Source organism: Homo sapiens, chromosome 2, assembly GCF_000001405.40.
Source record: "Homo sapiens chromosome 2, GRCh38.p14 Primary Assembly".
Taxonomy (NCBI): Eukaryota; Metazoa; Chordata; class Mammalia; order Primates; family Hominidae; genus Homo; species Homo sapiens.
The window spans coordinates 74,951,693-74,971,730 of record NC_000002.12 but is presented as its reverse complement, the minus strand read 5'-3'; the positions used below and the strand labels follow the sequence as shown (position 1 = coordinate 74,971,730).

Below are 20,038 nucleotides of genomic sequence, written 5' to 3'. Positions count from 1 at the left end.
CTCATGGGTAGGAAGAATCAGTATTGTGAAAATGGCCATACCGCCCAAGGTAATTTACAGATTCAATGCCATCCCCATCAAGCTACCAATGACTTTCTTTACAGAATTGGAAAAAACTACTTTAAAGTTCATATGGAACCAAAAAAGAGCCCGCATCGCCAAGTCAATCCTAAGCCAAAAGAACAAAGCTGGAGGCATCACGCTACCTGACTTCAAACTATACTATAAGGCTACAGTAACCAAAACAGCATGGTACTGGTACCAAAACAGAGATATAGATCAATGGAACAGAACAGAGCCCTCAGAAATAACGCCGCATATCTACAACTATCTGATCTTTGACAAACCTGAGAAAAACAAGCAATGGGGAAAGGATTCCCTATTTAATAAATGGTGCTGGGAAAACTGGCTAGCCATATGTAGAAAGCTGAAACTGGATCCCTTCCTTACACCTTATACAAAAATCAATTCAAGATGGATTAAAGACTTAAACATTAGACCTAAAACCACAAAAACCCTAGAAGAAAACCTAGGCATTACCATTCTGCATGGGCAAGGACTTCATGTCTAAAACACCAAAAGCAATGGCAACAAAAGCCAAAATTGACAAATAGGATCTAATTAAACTAAAGAGTTCTGCACAGCAAAAGAAAGTACCATCAGAGTGAACAGGCAACCTACAAAATGGGAGAAAATTTTTGCAACCTACTCATCTGACAAAGGGCTAATATCCAGAATCTACAATGAACTCAAACAAATTTACAAGAAAAAAACAAACAACCCCATCAAAAAGTGGGCGAAGGACATGAACAGACACTTCTCAAAAGAAGACATTTATGCAGCCAAAAAACACATGAAAAAATGCTCACCATCACTGGCCATCAGAGAAATGCAAATCAAAACCACAATGAGATACCATTTCACACCAGTTAGAATGGCAATCATTCAAAAGTCAGGAAACAACAGGTGCTGGAGAGGATGTGGAGAAATAGGAACACTTTTACACTGTTGGTGGGACTGTAAACTAGTTCAACCATTGTGGAAGTCAGTGTGGCGATTCCTCAGGGATCTAGAACTGGAAATACCATTTGACCCAGCCATCCCATTACTGCGCATATACCCAAAGGACTATAAATCATGCTGCTATAAAGACACATGCACACGTATGTTTATTGCGGCATTATTCACAATAGCAAAGACTTGGAACCAACCCAAATGTCCAACAACGATAGACTGGATTAAGAAAATGTGGCACATATGCACCATGGAATACTATGCAGCCATAAAAAATGATGAGTTCATGTCCTTTGTAGGGACATGGATGAAATTGGAAATCATCATTCTCAGTAAACTATCGCAAGAACAAAAAACCAAACACCACATATTCTCACTCATAGGTGGGAACTGAACAATGACAACACATGGACACAGGAAGGGGAACATCACACTCTGGGGACTGTTGTCGGGTGGGGGGAGGGGGGAGGGACAGCACTGGGAGATATACCTAATGCTAGATGACGAGTTAGTGGGTGCAGCGCACCAGCATGGCACATGTATACATATGTAACTAACCTGCACATTGTGCACATGTACCCTAAAACTTAAAGTATAATAATAATAAATAAATAAATAAAATGTTCTAAAATCGACTGTGATGACTGGTGTACATATTTGTGAATATACTAAATACCACTGAATTGTACACTTTAAATTGGTGAAATATAGAGTATGTGGATATGTCAATAAATAAAACTTAAAAAAAATTTAACTGGCTTTCAATCTAGGACCATATTTATTTGAACTCCTGAGGGCAAGTGGTGTTCCATAAATTCTGGAACCACTTTCTGGTGATGTGCTGGAAAAATAAAAGAACAAAATTAATGAAAGGACTGTATGTTAGAATGGCTGGCAGGGAAGATCAGGAAGGTCTGTGACCAGGTATGGTGACTCTCCAGTCACAGGGTAGGAACAAAGGCGAGATTATAAAACACACTGGACTGAGGTTGATCAAAAACCTTTATTCTGGTCCTCATCATTCAGGAAGCCACTTATGCAGAACACTTTCTTCATCTCTGCTCTAAGCAGCAGCAGCTGCATCCAGGCTTGATATGGAAGACAGACAGAAATAGTGGAAGACCTTGCAGAGAAGAGCTAATTGATGAGATCTCTGCTTATCCCGGCATAGGTGAAGGCAGAACAGGAAGAGTGTGTGTAAGTGCAAAGACTCCGTTCTTCAAAGCTGAGGCCTGTGCAGAGGGGTGAACTGAAGGCTTCAGATGAAGGCTCACAAAACTGCCCCGCTCGGCAATCAATCTAAAGTACCTAAACATACAAAGAGCAATGAGTATATCAGGGGACCTCAGAAGCTGGATTAGTGTAACAAGCTGGGCAAACTTAATGCAGAAGAGGCTCCGGTATTGGCAGCAGTTCTCTAAGACCAAAATACTAATTTTGAGGATGATCCATCCAAAATATCCCCAGGGAAAACATGTCATTACAGATGGTGGGCAGTTAGGAATTAAGCATACTAGTCGGAAGAGCTAGAATTAGAAGTGGGAAAAGGGCTAAGAAGTCGTTGTGTTAGTTAATGAACATTGATGAAGACCATATAAGAAAAGAATATAAAATAAATGAGGTAAACTCTCTAATTAAAGAGTTTATAATCTTTTTAGAAAGTTTCAGTTCCAGATGGGGGACTGGGCCCACAAGTACGTATGCCCTCCCATCCAAGATTCCATTCAAAAGGTAAAAAAGTTTAAAAAGTATAAATCTACAACAAATAGGGGCCCACTGGCAGTTAATGGATTTCAACAAAAAACTGAGTAACAGAAACCTGATCAAAGTATGCTTATAAATAGAGCAGAGGAAAAAGGAGCCTAGAATGAACAGAGGGGGCTGCAGCAGAAAAGGAGGCCCATATGCCTAAAAGAACCATGAGGAAGCTCCAGGCTCAAGTCACCAGGAATGGTGATGTGAGATGAAAATGGGTTAATGACCAGAGGGTCTGTATGACAAACAGTTGCCCCTATCTCCCCACAACCCTCCCCACAGGCAGGACAACCAGAAGACAGGCATTTAAACCTAACTTGGAAAAAAAAAAAAAACAAAGATCACAGGGCTCTCTTCTAAAGAACCAAATGAACTATATGGAGAAAACTAGAACAGCCTCTAAAACTGCCAGCTTCCCACAGCAAAGCATTCTGCATTCATACCCTCGGGGTCACCCAGGACAACATCTGGTCCCACCCCTGTTCACCCTAAAGCAAAGCTGCCAGGCAACAACCACCCCCTCATCCCATACACACACACACAGTTACCAAACAGCCTTATTCCCTTATTCTTAAATAGAATGAAAATCACCAGGTATCTGAAGAAAGCTACACAGTTGAAAGGATACCAAAACTTTTTTTAATGACCTAGATAATATAGGGAAAATAAAAACATAAGAAAAATAAAGCAAAAACACTTCTAATTTAAAAAAAAATAGAGGTGCTTTTCATAATGGCAAGTTCCTGTTGAGATCAACTGAGAAAGCTAAATAAAATATATAAGAAAAGGAAATCTTCAGGAATTGAAGAGACATCAAGAAAAAGCAAATGTGAAATCTAGAGACAGTAAGAACACAAAACAAACCCAGCCTCTAATGTTACTTCTGCTCTCATGACATCTGCCAATCTGAAAAAGCTGAGAAACTGGGCGGTTATTTGTGTAGGCTGAAGGAACCAAGAGTCAAATCCCTGAGTCTACCCAAGTAAGGAAGTCTGACACCCATCTTTCTTAAGCTAGAGCCCAAAAGGCTGCCCCCTCAGAGTAAGGACGAACTGGAATTTAATCAGTGCCCCTTCACAGGCCTGCAGCCTGAGTTCATATCAGTATGATAGTCCAGAAACCTTCAAGTCTTAGATCTGGATTCAGAAGTCCTGCACTGATAATGGCTGTAGGTGGCTTCAGGAGCAAATGGAAATTTTCTTTGGAGAAAGTATCACCATATGGCCTCAACTTATCTAACAAATACTTTTTAAAGAAAATAACCATTATCCAAAGATAGGCATATAGGGGGATAAAAGGCCATGTGACAGTACCAAAAGAAACAACAGACAAAAAGACAGTCTCAAGAGACTATGGATGTTAGATTCGGCACAGACTAGCAAACAAAAAACTCAAAAGGCTTTGAATATTAGGTCATATATTGGATGGAACATTCACTATAAAACAACTGTGTTTACTATGTTTACAGAACTAAAAGACAAACTTCAAAATACCTGCAGAAAATAAGAACAACAAAAAGTACTCACAAAAATTGCTTGATACTTTATTAAGCTAAAAAAAAAGACAACAGATTTGGAAAGGAACCAAACAGAACTCACAGTACTGAAAAATACAAAAACTGAAACTAAAAAAAAAAAACAAAAAAAATAGTTTAAAGGAAATGAGACAAATGGAGAGAATAAACTGGAAGATCAGAAAAAATTACACAGAATGCATACTAGAGAGGCAAAATTATGATTGAGTTTTTACATATATTTAATGGGAATCCCAGAGAGAGACACAGGAAAGAACAAGGCAGAGCCAATAGCTGAAGAGACACTCGCTGAGAATTTTCCAGGACAGATGAAAGACATTAATCTATAGATTCAAGAAGCTCAAACAAACTACATAAAAAGAAATCCACACCTCTGTACATCAGAGTGAAACCACAGAAAATCAAAGTGAAAATCTTAAAAGCAGACAAAAAACAAAAAGGATAAACTAGCTTCAAAAGAATTACAAACAGGTAATTTCTCTATAGAAAACATAGAAGCCAAAAAAAAAAGCAGTAAAATGATAGCTTCAATGTGCTAAAAGAAAATAATTTTCCACCTAGAATTTATATTCAACAAATTATCCTCCAACAATGAAATTCAAGGCATTTTCATAAGAAAAAAATGAGAGAGTCAGTTACCAGACCATACTAAATGAAGTTCTAAATGATTTATTTCAGGAAGAAGAAAATGATCACAAATGGAGGATCGGAAATACAGAAAGGAGGCCAAGCACAGCAGCTCACGCCTGTAATCCCAGCACTTGGGAGGCCAAGGCAGGCAGATGACTTGAGGTCAGGAGTTTGAGACTAGCCTGGTCAACATGGTGAAACCCCATCTCTACTAAAAATACAAAAAAAACTAGCCAGGCTTGGTGGTGCATGCCTGTAATTCCAGCTACTTGGGAGGCTGAGACATGAGAATCACTTGAACCCAGGAGGCAGAGGTTGCAGTGAGCTGAGATCGCACCACTGCACTCCAGCCTGGGTGACGAAATGAAACTGTCTCAAAAATAATAATAATCCAGAAAGGAAAGAAAAGCAAAGGTAGTATGTGACTAAATCCATATATCATTGACTGCATAATTCAGGAATAAAAATGCCTTATGTAGATTGACAAAGACAAAACAAAAATACATGACAATAACAGCACATAAATTAGGAGACGAGGAATTTGAAAATTGAGTTAATGGATCCTGAGATCTCAATTTGTTGAGAATGAGGGGAAAGGTACTAAATAGGCTTTGATAAATTAAGGACTTACATAGTAACTGATAATCACTAAAAGAATAGAAATAGAGCATATAACTTCCAAGCTGATAGAGGGAAAAAAATCAAATAATAATCCAAAAGAAGGCCAAAAATTGAGAGAAAAAAAAAACAAAACATAAAACAAGCAAATAAAAAGCAGGACAAAATAAGACAATAGAATTCAAACTCATAGATATGACCAATTACATTAAACATAAATAAATGACGTGCTCCAGTTATAGACACAGACTGTCTGAATTTAGGAAAATAATCCAGTTAAATTCTGTTCACAAATATATGGAAAGATAAAAATTAAAAGATTTACAAAAATCCGTACCGTGCAAATAAATACTAACTAAAGAAAGCTGATAAGCTTTAATAATATTAAACAAAATAGACTTTAGGGCTCAAAGCAGTTAGAAATAACAATAGCCAATTTACAAATATAAAAGGCTCAATCACCAACAATATATAACAACATTAAATTTGTATATATCTAATCACATGGTTTCATAATATATAATGAAAGAATAGACCCAGAAATATAAGTAGAAATAGTCCATAATCATAGCAGTAGAGTTTTAACACATAACTCTTTGAAACAGGTAAAATAAGCAGACAGAAGAAATTCAGTAAGAACACAGAAAATCTAAATTATACAATAACCAAATTTGGCATTGCAACCCCTCTAACAGCATCACTGAATTCCATCAAATATTCAAAAACAAAATAATTCCAATCTTTCAATAAGTTTTCCAGAGAATAGATAAGATAAAAAGTGGGCCAGGCGCGGTGGCTCACGCCTGTAATCCCAACACTTTGGGAGGCTGAGGCGGGTGGACCTTGAACACCTGAGGTCAGGAGTTCAAGACCAGCCTGACCAACATGGCAAAACCCCATCTCTACTAAAATACAAAAATTATTGGGGTGTGGTGGTGCGAGCCTGTAATCCCAGCTACTCGAGAGGCTGAGGCAGGAGAATCACTTGAACCCAGGAGGCAGAGGTTGCAATGAGCTGAGATCGTACCACTGTACTCCACCCTGGGCAACAGAGTGAGACTCCATCCCCCACCAAAAAAAAAAAAAAAATAGATAAAAAGTGTATAATTGCCAATGAATTGTATGAAGCTCACACACAGTATGAAAAAAAAAGACTAATCTCTTTTATAAACAGGGATGCAACATTCATAATCTGTTAAAAAATCTACATAAAATCTACAGTAAGCATAATTACTAGGTAAATACTGAAAGCTTTCCCTTGGAAGTCAAAAATGCCTGCTCTTACCACTTCCATGCAACACTGTACTAGAGATTCTAGCCAGTTCAGTAGGGCAAGAAAAAAATATATAAAGATAAGGATTGGAAAGAACTTCACAAAATTATTATTATTGGCAGATGATATACTACTATGTAATTAAAGAAATTCAAAAATCAACAGATATGTCATTCAAATTATTAAGAACTACATCAAAACAAAATTTTTAAGTAAAAAAACTAAGAATAACAGCTAAGAAAGATGCTAGTTGCAAAATTAACATAAAATCAATTATATTTCTAAAAACAGCAATATTTAGAAAATAAAATTTTCTTTAGAAAGATACCATTAACAATATCATCAAAAATATTAAGTACTTACAGAACAACATTTAACAAAATACATCAAGATTTCTTCAGGTAAAATAATTTATTAAAAACTAAATATTAATAAATGTTAAAGTAGACCATATTTATAAAATGAAAGGTTCACTATTGTAAAGATATCGTTTCTTCCCCACAGTAATTTATAAATTCAATACAATCCCAATTAATATCTCTTTTTGTGGAATTTGACAGATTCTAAAATGTACATGAAAATGCAAAGATTCAAAAATAGCAAAGATACTTAGAAAAAAACAAGGTGGGAAGATCTGCTCTCTCAGATAAAGCTACCATAACTGAGACAGTATAGTACTGATGTGAGAATACCCATCAATGGAAAAGAGATACAAATAGATCAATGGAAGAGAACAGAAAGGCCAGAAACAGCCTTGATTGATAAGAAAGGTAGCACTGCAAAGCAGTGAGATGACGATATGGACAAGCGGATATCTAAATATGAAGACACAAATGAGACTGGACCCCCAACCCAATACACAAAAATTCAACTCCACTGTTATGAAAGACAAAACTATAAAGATTTTAGCATATACAGAATGTCTTCATGACAATACAGTAGGGAATATTTTCTAAAATGAACACAAATAGCATTAGTTATAAGGAAAAAAATTGATACATTTGATTACCTTTATATTTTAATGCGTATCAAAAGACAACCTTTTAAGGAGTGAAAAGGCAGGAAAAGATACGTCTCATATACTAAAAAAGATTCATATCTAAAATATAACAAGCACGGCTGGGCGCAGTGGCTCACACCTGTAATCCCAGCACCTTGGAAGGCGGAGGCAGGCAGATCACTTGAGGTCAGGAGTTCGAGACCAGCCTGGCCAACACAGTGAAACCCCATCTCTACCAAAAAAATGCCAAAATTAGCCAGGCGTGGTGGTACACGCCTGTAGTCCCAGTTACGTGAGAATCTCTTGAACGTGGGAGGGGGGGCTGCATTGAGCAGAGATCATGCCACTGCATTCCAGCCTGGATGACAAAGCAAGACTCCACGTCAAAAAAATAAATAAATAAAAATGAAATAAAATACAGCAAGCATTTTTATAAGTCAATAAGAAAAAGGACAAAAATAGCTAACAGAAAAATAGAAGACACCCCTCAAAAAAAAATGGGCATGTATATGAAAAGACGCCCAATGTCACCCACAATCAGGGCAATACGAATTAACACCACATGCAACTATCACTTACATTCAATAACAGCTTGTCAAAAATAAAAAACTCTGGTAATACCAAGTGTGGGTAAGAATGAGAAGCAATGGGAATTATCATGCACTGCTGGTAGGAACGTGAATTGGAATACAGGAAGTTCAGCAGTACCTGCCAAAGATGGAGATACGAATACTCTATATAGCCTAGGTCCCAGCAGTATTATATATTTTATACACACATATACATCCACCCTAGAGAAATATGTACAAGATTGTTCACAGCAAATTGTTTATAATAGGAGAAATAAGGTTTCCCAAATATCAACATTAAAATAGTTCAATTGTGGTACTGTCATATAGCAAGGAACACGAACAAATGAGTTATGTGCAATCACACAGATGAATCTCATAAATGTGTTAACTTAAAACAGTTGTGTGACAGATGTTGGCCAACGAATGCATACGGTTTGGTTCCATTTGCAGAGAGTTCAACAAAACAAAACTAAACCTTAGTGTTCAGGGATGCATGCTTATATAGTAAGCTATAAAGAAAAGGAAGTAATTACCAAAAAAGTTAGGAAACAGTAATGTCGGGAAAGGGGATGAGAATAGGTATGATGAAGAATGAATATACGTGGGACTCTGGGGGCTGACAATACCCTATCTCTTGGCCAAGATGGTGGTTACGAGAGTGTTCATTTTATCATTTATTGACTTTACATTTACAGCACACACTTTACATACGTTGTATTTCATATGACTTAGAAAAAGAATATACATATACACATACAAACATATTTGCATAAAATATCCAGATTACAGAAGAAAACTAGTAACAGTTGTTTGCAGGGAGGGGACCTGAATGAGGAATTAAGGGACAGAGAGAAGGTAGAGAAAGACTGTTTACAGTCCTAGTTTTCAACTTCTACAATCAACCAGAGATAAAGCATGGAAGATTTAATTGTGATAAGATACAAATGTTATTAGCTTTGACAATGTCAAATTACTAGATAACACAAATTGATAGCTAGATGTGAACTAGAAAGGGAAAAGGGATACATGCACTAATAGTCATACTTTACAAACTGGGGAGTCAAGGAATACATTAAAAATTGGACACAACAACCAAAGACATCCTAGTATGTTATATAAACTGTAAAGGTAAAGAAACTAAAACTAGTGATACAACTACCAAAAATCAGAAAGACAGCAGGGGATTTATGGGGTTCTACAGGTTAGCCAAATCTTCATTTATCACAGCAGGAAGTCAATACATACCGTCTACAGCTGACAAACCAATGGGTAAGCATATTAGTTAGAAATAAACGTAACCACCAGAAAAGCTCAAAACACAAACAAAACAGTGGGTGGACGGCAGCTGTACTTCATTATAAGCCATTAGGTAACGATTTGATTTTCAAGTATGGATATGTATTATAAAAACGAAAAAAATGTATTTACTTAGACCATACACACCTAAGGACATAAGAACATTTATTTTACCCAGTAAAAAATAATATAATGCAGACTGAATCCACAGGGGCTATGATGGCTAACATTCAGATCTACCAATGTAGGACAGAGCAAAGGGATTCAATTACAGAGATAAATGAGGATGAAGGCAGAGGATGAAAATAAACACACCAATCATTCAATAAATGGCCATTTATTAAAAATCCAAGCTAAGCACTATGCTGTGATAGAGGCTAGAGTGGAAAACTACATAAGACCACCCCACTTCTATTCCTAGTACCCTCCAGTTTATTTTCCCCAGGGCAGCAATGTTGTGCACTTAAAATACAAATCTGATCATATCACTCATGTCTTTGAAAAGCTGGTAATTAAAAATGAAGAGGTAAAGTAGGCTCCAAACATTTTTGACTGCAGAACTTACAGAAAGTCTGTCACAAGGAGTGCCTGCCTTAGGTAGGACTAACAAAAGTTAATTTTAAGAAAAATGAGTAGGTGGAAAGAGAGGCTGAAGAAAAATCTGCAAATTAAAAGAATGCTCAATAGTCTAGACATAGAGTTGGCCATGGTAGTCTATCTATCTAATAAGACATTTAAAAAATATCTATCAAAAGGACCAGGGGCCTAGGTTGACAGGGAGATGCAGAACAAAGGAGTAAAAAAGAGTGGAATAAATCAAGATATTTCTAAAGGTAATAAGGCTTGAAGGAGGTAATGAGAACACCCTGGGAGAATAAGGATACATGGCTTTTGCTAAGCTATTCAATCAAAATACATGTGTCGCTCAACAACAAGGATACATCCTGAGAAATGCATCACATCTTCAGGCGATTTCACCACTGTGTGAACACCATAGAGGGTACTTACACAAAGCTAGATGGTATAGCCTACTACACACTTAGTCTACAGGGTATACCTATTGTTGTCAGGTTACAAACCTGAACAGCATGTTACTGTACTGAATACTGTAGGCAACTGTAACATGAGGATAAGTGTATTTAAACAAATCTAAACATAGAAAAGGTAATGTATTTCATTAGGATGTTATGACCACTACCTCACTGGGCAAAAGGAATTTTTCAGCTCCATTATAATCTGATGGGACCACCCTCATGTGAGCAGTCCATGGCTGACCAAAAAGTTATTACGCAGCACATGACTACATACGTGTAGTGAAGAGTAAGCTGATCAGACTGAAGAATTAAGTAGCAGAAATCGCTCTGAGGCTAGGTAGCTAAAATTAGGTATTTCAAATATTTTCTTTTTTAATGACAAAATTTAGTTAGTACACAAGTTAATCCATGACTCCTAAAAATACAGACAAGTACAAGTCTTATTGCAGCAAAATAATCACTTCACACAGATTGTTGAAGAAAAAAGAACAAGCGGTGACCCTTTAAATGTTAACAATTGTTTCTGATCTGTAACATGATGAGGGGGGGCAAGCCTGACATTTAGGGATGGCGATCAAAGTAGGAATCGAACTTTCGAATTCATCTAACTCCACTGGGATCTTTATATTCCCTCCTATTTCTTTATGGTTAGCAATTTTCAGGTAGAAATTTTAATTCCCCAAGGGAGAAAACTGAACCTCACTAGGTTTAGCAAGTTACTTTTTTCTATCCTAATAGCAAGTGCGGAGAATTATCCCTACACAAACAAGAAGCAGGCATCCGTTTTATGAGATTTTGAATTTCACATCAACATGCAAAAGACAGGCGGAAATGATTGCCCACTGAGAGGGAACTCACCTTCCAGAAAAGCAAATTCATCCACAGCTTCTATTGCATTATCTGAAACACAAGGAAAAGAGACACCTGACTAACTTCAGCCATGCTGACCTCAGTCAGAAAACAGCACAATCTGCAGTGAAGGGCATGAGGCTTTGGGCAAATGAGGGCATTTATAAGATGCGTCCCTTGCTGCCTTGAGATCCATATCTACTCTACCAGCAACTCTTATATATATTAGCTGTCTCCCTAGAAGAGTTAAGAAAAGCATAGGCAAATACCATTCAACGCGGGGGTTGGGGGCCTCCTAAATTACCCCTAAATTATTTATTCGCTTTGCTCTTAAAGTTGTCAGAGAAGAACGTGGCAATAGACGCAGGGCGCATGAGAATACGGTATACGAAATCTTACCCAGGTGAGGGTTCCCAGCCAGACAAGAGTCAGAAATCAAATCCCCAGTTGCTAGGTGAAAAAGAAATATCTTTTTCTGGTGCAATTTGGCAGAAGGTATGAAGGGATCCAGTCCGCTACGGCAACCCCAGACACCTTCACACACTGCCCCGCCACCCCAAGCAGACAGCCTCTACAGGTAGGGCTTCCTGGCACTGTGGCCAACAGAAACCATCCTGGGGAGAGACGCTGTGGCACCTCTCAGATCAGAGTGACGTCTTCTCAACCTGCACAAGGGGAAACCAGCCCAGCCCTCCCTTGTCTGTCCCCAGACACTGCAGTGCCACTCTACCCAAGTCTCTCCTCTGAAGGGTTTTCCTTTTTCCCTGCTGAGCGCAACAGTAGGCATCTTTTGCAATGGTCTCCACAAACAGTTCCTGTGAAGTAAAAAAGCAAAGTTTTAGTAATGGGTTCTAACACACTGAGGAGGTGAGGGCTCCGGTTTGTGGGTGGGGGCAGAAAGGGAGAAGAAAGGCTCGGGGCAAGAAAATGTTCTGGAAGCTAAGATTGTCCTGGACTTCATGAAGATCCATTCCGCTACCCTCTTCCCAGTATTCTCCCTCATTCACTAAAGACTCCTACAAGTTCTGTACGAGGCCCTGGAGATACAAATTAAAGTCACTCACTATCCAGGTCCTCAACAAGAGGGAGGAGTGTTAACAAAACTCGCACAGGTCCCCGGCCCCTTTCCTCCGCCTTCCGGGTCCACGCCCACATCTCAAAACCCGGGCCACGCCGCCCTAAGCCCCGCCCGCGGGAGGCCCCGAGGCCCCGCCCCACACTCCACCTCCCCCACTCCCGCATGCCCTCGCGCTGCAGGCGCACCGCGGCTCGTGCCAGAATGAAGATGGCTTCCTGTCCCGCTAGCGTCACGTCGGGATCTGCCTTCACCAAGGCCTTCACTCGCGCCAGAGGCAACCTCGAGAGACGAGCCCCAGGCACACTCGTTGGGGCCTGGGGCTGCGAGGCCGCTGCCTCCCCAGCAGGTCCCTCCTCCTCTCGGGGCGTCCCGCTTCCTGCCGCCGCCGCCGCCGCCATCCCGGCCTTGAGCGTGCTGCGCGCGGCCGCCGACTGTGCGCGCGCATGCGGCGCAGGCCCTTTCCCGCGCGGGCTGGAGGCCACACCCTGTGTAGGCGCGCGGCTCCGCCCCTACGCGGCAGTGCGCTGCCAGGAAACCGGGTGGGCGGGGGTCGGGCTCCGGCTCTTCCCACGCGCCTAGCCACCCGTGGGCTGTCGTGCACTTGGTTGACGCTACCGGCGACCCTCTGGCCCCGACGGGCCTGTGGAGCCCAGGCACCTCCCATTGGTGCCTGTGCCTGGCTGGTGAGGGGAGAAATCTAGACCAGGCTCGCAAGAGAGTCTCCGTCAAAACAGAGTGTGCATATTCCAAGGCTAACGAGGGCACGTGTCCGAGGGAGGCCCGGCCCTGGAGGGCCCAGCATCGTGGAAGAGGGTGCCAAGGAGGCAGCGAAATCTGGACCAAATTCAAGGATAACCAGTTATAGATGCTCTTGAAGGAGGGGTAGGGCTTTTGGCAGGCAGAAATGAAGAAATTCAGCCCAGCCAGAGGAAACAAGAAAAAGTCATGGAGGCTAGAAAAGATGAAATTGTGGTGGTGAGGCATCCACGTTTGTTCAAAAAGAGGTTGCATCACAGCTTTGGTTCTCAAATTTGACCTCAAGATCCCTTTACGGTCTTAAAGATTGTTAAAGAGCCCAGGGAGCTTTTGTTTCTGTCAGTTATATCAATACTTACTATATTAGAATTAAAGTTTTAAAATATTGATTTAAAATTACTAATGCGTTACCAGCTAACAAACAACATTTTTATGACAAGTAATTTTTTTTAAATCTAGTAAGAAAAGTCTCTAATGTCTGATTTCATGTGAGAACTGGATTCTCTAGCTGCTTCTGTTGCTAACGTTAGCACTTCTCAGGTAGCTCTTAAAAAACTACTACATCTTGAGAGAATGTGAATGAAAAAGGCAACCTCATAGTAGTATTAAGAAAATAATTTTGGCCTCATGGACTCCTGAAAAGGGTCTCCAGAAAATTCCCACCCCCATGAATCCCCACACCACACTTGGAGGTCTGATAGCGTAGAGGAACAGTTAATATTTAAAATAGGTTTAATCTAAGTCAATCATAATAATAGTGAACACCTTTAAACATTTACTATGTGCATGATTCAAAGTGTTTTAGATTTATGTAAATCATAACTTCTGTAATTTTCACAATACCCTATTGAGGTAAATATTATAACCTTCTTTTTCAAACCTTATTTGAAAAAATTGAGGTGCAGAGTGGTTACTGAGTCGCATACACAGGGCAGAATGTGGTGAAGCCAAGATGAAGCTGAATTAAACACATCTGAAATCACTCAGTTCCAAAATTATGTAGTAAACTCTGACTGGTGTAGGAGTGGAAAGGTGTGAAACCTTTCTTTACCCATTTTAAGGGTCACAGCTGACACTCCTATAACACACACAAAAAGCCTAACAAGTCTAATCAAAGTTTTACATGACATGAGAGTCCAAAAATGCAGACCATGAGACCTAGAGGAAACTATTTTTATGCTTAGGTTATATGAAGAAGGGATCGCTGTGTAGAAATGTGATTAGAGGCCTGGTACGGTGGGTCACACTTGTAATCCCAACACTTTGGGAAGCCAAGGCAGGAGGACCGCCTGAGCCCAGGAGTTTGAGACCAGCCTGGGCAACAGATGGAGACCCCATTTCTACACACACACACACACACACACACACACACACACACACACACACAAATTAGCTGGGTATTGTGATCCTATAGTCCTAGCTACTTGGGAGGCTGAGGTGGGAGAGTTGCTTGAGCCCAGGAGTTCAAGGTTACAGTGAGCAATGATTGCACCACTGCACTCCAGCCTGGGCGACAGAGAGAGACCCTGTGTCTTAAAAAGAAAAAGAAATGGGATTGGACAAAAAGGGAATGATAATAGTCTAATGGTAATAGACTGAATGGGGAAACCCAGCAAGGCCTGTCTGTTCATATTCTTCTTGGCCTCCCTGTGTAGCATTCCTTCTGGTATTAGGGCAGGACCCTTCTGGAATGAGGGTCTTCAAGGGAGAAGGCAGAAAATAACCTTTCTAGGTTTTACGACTTGCTTGGAGGAAGGAGAATTCTAGTTTCTATGACCTGCGTTGGGAAAGAGGAATTCTGGTTTCCATGACTCACTGCGAAGAGTGGTGATGTTACAGTGGGTAGCTAGTCAGACACGAACAGGGCAGGATAGGGCCCCCACGCTCCACCAGGAATGTCAGAAGATCATCAGGTGATGGTCAGACAGTGGTCACACCGCCTCTCTAAAATAATAATTGCTCATAGCCAGCGCCAGGGAAAGGCAGTTTCCCTATAGATAGAAAAACCCTGAAACTGATGATCAGGAGCTTCCTGATGAGATCTCAGGAGTTGGGCGAGCGGGCTCACGCATGCACACTAAGAGGCAAAATGGTGGAATTTAACTGATATATGACCTTCTGGGGGCATTCTACTGAAAAAGGGAAGAACGCCTCAGGTGAGCATGCTTACAACTTCAATAAATACACTGCACTTGCTCCCCTCCCCAGCGCTAGCAGGCTACTGTGCATTTCGACAACCCACCCCAAGGGAAGAATCAGGGTAGAAGGGATGCAAGACCCCAGAAGTATGCCAACACATAAAAACCCAAGTCAAAAGGTCAAACCTTGCACTTGTCCTTCAAGTCACCCACTTGGGCCTCTTCTCAGTGTACTTTCCTTCCTTTCGTTCTTGCTCTAAAGCTTTTTAAGAAATTTTCACTCCTGCTTTAAAACTTGCCTCAGTCTCTTCTTTTGCCTTATGCCCCTCAGTCGACATCTTCTGAGGAGACAAGAATCGAGGTTGCTGCAATTTGCTGCCAGTAACTGTAATAACTTCTACTGCTTACAGTGGAAAACAGGACAGGAGAAGTTCAGAAAGACCTTGCTTCTGAGGCCTTTCCAATTTTCTTCAGTTCAAAGTACTCAGCATTCCAAAGTACCATACTTTGGGGTATCATGTAATGAGCCCCAACCCTGAATTAGCACAGAGACACTCCACTATAGCAGAATAAGAGTCTTGGCCCAGAATTAAAATCTGCAGAAGAGGATATGAGTTGCTGAAAATTGAACCAGAGCAGCCATTAGGGCCTCAGTCCTGGGTTCTTTTCAGATTACATTTATGGACACTCTCACTCATGGAAAGCTCCACACAAAATTCATAAAAGCATGACCAGATTCTTGTGTCACAGTGCACAAGAACACCTCACAAGAGCTATACTCCAGCAATCGCAAAGTAGCTAAGTACTAAATTGACCTAAATTCTGAATTAACATAAGACAGTTGACAATGGTGGGGGTGTTACTGGACCCCACCACTTACCCAAAGTTAGCCTTTGGGTCAGGGGTTTCCTTGCTAGAGTCCTTTCGTGGTCACCAGAAAAATGTTACAGGAAAGGGGTTCTGATCCAGACCCCAAGCGAGAGTTCTTGAATCTCACACAAGAAAGAATTCAGGGCAAGTCCATAAAGTAAAGTGAAAGCAAGTTTATTAGGAAAGTAAAGGAATAAAAGAATGGTTGCTCCATTGGCTGGGCAGCCCTGAGGGCTGCTGGTTGCCCATTTTTGTGGTTATTTCTTGATTATCTGCTAAACAAGGGGTGGATTATTCATGTCTCCCCTTTTAAGACCATATAGGATAACTTCCTGATGTTGCCCTGGCATTTGTAAACTGTCATGGTGCTTGTGGGAGTGTAGCAGTGAGGACGACCAGAGGTCACTCTCCTGGCCATCTTGGTTTTGGTGGTAAGTTTTAGCTGGCTTCTTTACTGCAAACTGTTTTATCAGCAAGGTCTTTATGACCTGTATTTCGTGCCAACCTCCTATCTCATCCGCTGACTTAGAATGCCCTAACCATCTTGGAATGCAGCCCAGTAGGTCTCAGCCTCATTTTGCCCAGCTCCTATTCAAGATGGAGTTGCTCTGGTTCACACACCTTTAACGGGCAGGAGGAGTTAAGAGTTCTTGAAAGGGCTGAGTCAACTTGGCTTTCAGAGGATTCTCATTTCAACCCCCTTTTCTTCCCAATTTTGTCTCATTCATATGTTCCCTGCCTTTCCTCCTTTTCTCCTTTTTTGTTCCCCTTCGTGTTCTTTTTTTTTTCTTTTCTTTTCTTTTCCTCATCACTTGAATGTCTCACCACTTGGTGCAGTCCTTCTCTCCCTGGTTTGACTATGACTAACCAAGAGTTTATGGAGACCAGACAGGACTTCCTGACTATAAGTATTGAACAGCACTAAGGTGTGTTAGAAAGGGAAATCACGTTTCACAGTTTTTGAGTTTCAGTGGAAAAAAGGCAGAAGAAACAGGAAGACGAAGGTTGAAAAGCTCAAAAAGCCACACACGCACACACGGTTCGCATTCCAGTCCAAATAGAATGAAGGCTAAAAATATCTTTAAAAGGCTACGTGATGAAAATTAATGCAAAAAAAACATGATGTGTGTTAAGTGAAGTTTGGCCTAAAGCTGTCTCTTTACATAGTTTAAGTTTGGCCTAAAGGTTTCTTCATATGTAGAGAAATGCAAGGTAACTTGATGTGAAAACGGTCACTTACTCTTGTAAGAAATAGCCAAGTTTCAGCCAATTACAGGCAGCCAGCTGCTCAAACCAGGTTCAAACCAGGTTCAAATAAGGCAAACATCAAGCTGTAACCGTTCCAGCTATTTCTGTACCTCACTTCCATTTTCTGGACATCATTTTCCTTGTTATCCTACCATGCGGCAGGCCTAAAATCACACTGAATCTATTCTGGTTCTGGGGGCTGCCTGATTCGAGAATCATTTTTTGCTCAGTTAAACTCTGTAAAATTTAACTTGTCTAAAGTTTTCTTTTAACTTGTGAAGTATTTTATCTAATAAGCTAAAGATTAAAGACAGCTTGCCATCTACCATACTGGAGTAAGTGTCCTATCCAGGAGATAAGTTAGTGGAGGAACCAGTATCACTTCATTTCTGAATTTTTTTAAAAAAAAATCATATATGTGTTGTATGTACACGTGTGTATTGTTAAAAGATAAACCTAGGCACATTAAAATTTTAAAGAGTTGATTTGAGCAGATAGTGATTCATGAATCGGGTAGTGCCAAACCACAGCTGGGTCTGGGCTCCACTGAGGCAGGGGGAGGGGAGATGCTTTATAAAGTATTTGAGGAACAAGACAAAGAAAATATTTGATTGGTTAAAGTAGAGCAGTAGCCATAAAGTTCCTAGTTAGAGGTGAGTTGGCAGTGATAACAGAATGGCTGGGCTCTCAGTTAAACCCCACCATTAAGCCTGGAACTACAGCCCTAAGTGAAAACAGCTGACCCATTTTTCTACCTGAATGTTGCCTTTTTGGCCTGCCACACCCCTATCCTGTGCCCATAAAAAAACTTTAACTGGCAGAGCAATACAAGCAGCTGAGCGTCAGAGATACAAGCAGCTGAGCGTCAGGGACACAAGAAGCTGGGCATTGAGGATACAAGCAGCTGAGCATCAGGGATACAAATGGCTGAGCAGAGAAGCAACTGAGCATCTAAGACTACAGACAGATGTGGCTAACTTCAGACAGTGCAGCTTCAGGCAAAGATCTTCTTCTCGCACCATCCCCTTTCCAACTCCCCATTCTGCTGACAGCCACTTCCACTTCCATCACACAATAAAATCCTCTGCATACGCCAACCTTCAATTCATTCGTGTGACGATTCTTCCTAGACACTGGACAAGAACCCAAATGCCAAGAGGACAAGGGCTGGGACACTCCTACAGGGCCCTGCACAGAGCCGGCTCCCGCCAGAGAGGAGCAACCGGCCAGTTCCAGCATTAGTTCACTTTGGTTCCTGCACTCTTCTTGCTCACATGCTCCCTCTCATGAGGAGTGGCCAGTGGCAGGCTGAATGAAATGTGCTACTCCAGTTCCCTCCCACAAGGTCAAGGAAAAAATTCCAGCTCAACAGTTTCTGACTGGTTAAGCTTAAGCTTTGTTTTCCTGCAATATGGCTGTTCACACTGAGTTAGGTTTCAGTTTGGCCGTATAGAAACCCGAGACAGTGGAGCCATCTCAGCCTAATGGCCTCCCAATTATTTATTTTAACAGGGCATCATTTTATCTATATTTGTGCATGAATATATATGTGTACATAAATGTATACATATACAGACACATATTTGGAAGGTTAATGATTAAATACATCATAGGGAAAATAGAGGGCATACTAGGGTAACAAAAAAGAAAAAAAAAATCACCAGACTCTTTAAAAGGAAAAAATAAAGAGACAAAAATAAAGTATCATAAGTTTGTCCATGGAAATCCTGGGATGCAGGAATTACTTAAGCACTTAAAAACTAATTACAAGGGGAAAGCATGTTTAGAAAAAGAAAAGAGAAAAACAAAAGATACAAAGGAAAATGTTACTCTTAATCAATTCAGTGTTTAAATGAATTGTTTAGGCAGCAGTTCTCAAACTTTCTCAACTTTTTTTTTCAGGTTTATTATATAGGTAAATTGCATGTCATGGGGATTTGGTGTACAGATTATTTCATCACCCAGGTAATAAGCATAGTACCCAATAGGTAGTTTTTTGATCCTCATGCTCCTCCCACCCTCCACCCTCAAGCAGGCCCAAGTATCTATTGTTCCCTTCTTTGTGTCCACATATATTCAATGTTTAGCTCCCACTTATAAGTGAGAATATGCAGTATTTGGTTTTCTGTTCCTATGTTAGTTCATTTAGGATAATGGCCTCCAGCTCCATCCACGTTATTACAAAAGATATGATCTTGGTCTTTTTATGGCTGTGTTAGTATTCCGTGGTGCATATGTATCACATTTTTTTTAACCCAGTCCACCTTTGATGGACATCTGGGTTGATTCCACGTCTTTGCTATTGTGTGAATAGTGCATGCATGTGTCTTTATGATGGAACAATTTGGATTCCTTTGGGTGTATATCCAATAA

At 40.5% G+C, this 20,038-nt stretch overlaps 1 protein-coding gene and 1 long non-coding RNA gene across 11 annotated transcripts in view, besides 5 other annotated features; one reads left to right on the top strand and one right to left on the bottom strand.

The window, feature by feature from the left end:
- Positions 1-1,602: 1,602 nt before the first annotated feature.
- Positions 1,603-13,088, bottom strand: POLE4 (DNA polymerase epsilon 4, accessory subunit). The gene is made up of 4 exons (NM_019896.4): positions 12,839-13,088; positions 12,306-12,390; positions 11,585-11,626; positions 1,603-2,322 (listed from the first exon to the last, which is right to left on the bottom strand). The coding sequence occupies exons 1-4, from the start codon at positions 13,049-13,051 to the stop codon at positions 2,309-2,311; spliced, it is 354 nt and encodes a 117-aa protein (NP_063949.2). The 5' UTR covers positions 13,052-13,088; the 3' UTR covers positions 1,603-2,308.
- Positions 12,501-13,001: an enhancer, noted in NCBI's record as "H3K27ac hESC enhancer chr2:75185857-75186357 (GRCh37/hg19 assembly coordinates)". NCBI's record gives its function as "activates a minimal SCP1, AML or CMV promoter by ChIP-STARR-seq in naive H9 embryonic stem cells {active_cell/tissue: H9 hESC(naive)}" and the evidence as "EXISTENCE:reporter gene assay evidence [ECO:0000049][PMID:30033119]".
- Positions 12,640-12,879: a silencer, noted in NCBI's record as "silent region_11677". NCBI's record gives its function as "represses an Ori minimal core promoter by ATAC-STARR-seq in GM12878 lymphoblastoid cells {active_cell/tissue: GM12878}" and the evidence as "EXISTENCE:reporter gene assay evidence [ECO:0000049][PMID:35858748]".
- The window catches only part of LOC105374809 (uncharacterized), a 40,654-nt gene continuing 33,467 nt past the window's right edge, over positions 12,852-20,038 (top strand). For 8 of the 10 annotated variants that reach the window (NR_187883.1, NR_187881.1, NR_187884.1 and 5 more), the window contains exon 1: positions 12,852-12,999. This is a non-coding gene — a long non-coding RNA (uncharacterized LOC105374809). Of the gene's footprint in view, positions 13,000-19,567; positions 19,631-20,038 lie in introns of all 10 variants that reach the window. The other 2 variants (NR_187878.1, NR_187876.1) reach the window with 1 other exon arrangement.
- Positions 12,950-13,209: a silencer, noted in NCBI's record as "silent region_11676". NCBI's record gives its function as "represses an Ori minimal core promoter by ATAC-STARR-seq in GM12878 lymphoblastoid cells {active_cell/tissue: GM12878}" and the evidence as "EXISTENCE:reporter gene assay evidence [ECO:0000049][PMID:35858748]".
- Positions 12,950-13,502: a biological region, named in NCBI's record as "H3K27ac hESC enhancer GRCh37_chr2:75185356-75185856".
- Positions 13,002-13,502: an enhancer, noted in NCBI's record as "H3K27ac hESC enhancer chr2:75185356-75185856 (GRCh37/hg19 assembly coordinates)". NCBI's record gives its function as "activates a minimal SCP1, AML or CMV promoter by ChIP-STARR-seq in naive H9 embryonic stem cells {active_cell/tissue: H9 hESC(naive)}" and the evidence as "EXISTENCE:reporter gene assay evidence [ECO:0000049][PMID:30033119]".

Bases quoted from the DNA above. Each gene is read 5' to 3' on its own strand.
- POLE4 (NM_019896.4), bottom strand. From the start codon at position 13,051: ATGGCGGCGGCGGCGGCGGCAGGAAGCGGGACGCCCCGAGAGGAGGAG. The intron at 12,391-12,838 runs GTGCGCCTGCAG...TTTACTTCACAG, and splicing joins TCATTCTGGCACGAGCCGCG to GAACTGTTTGTGGAGACCAT. The intron at 11,627-12,305 runs GTAGAGTGGCAC...CTTGTGTTTCAG, and splicing joins CCTTCAGAGGAGAGACTTGG to ATAATGCAATAGAAGCTGTG.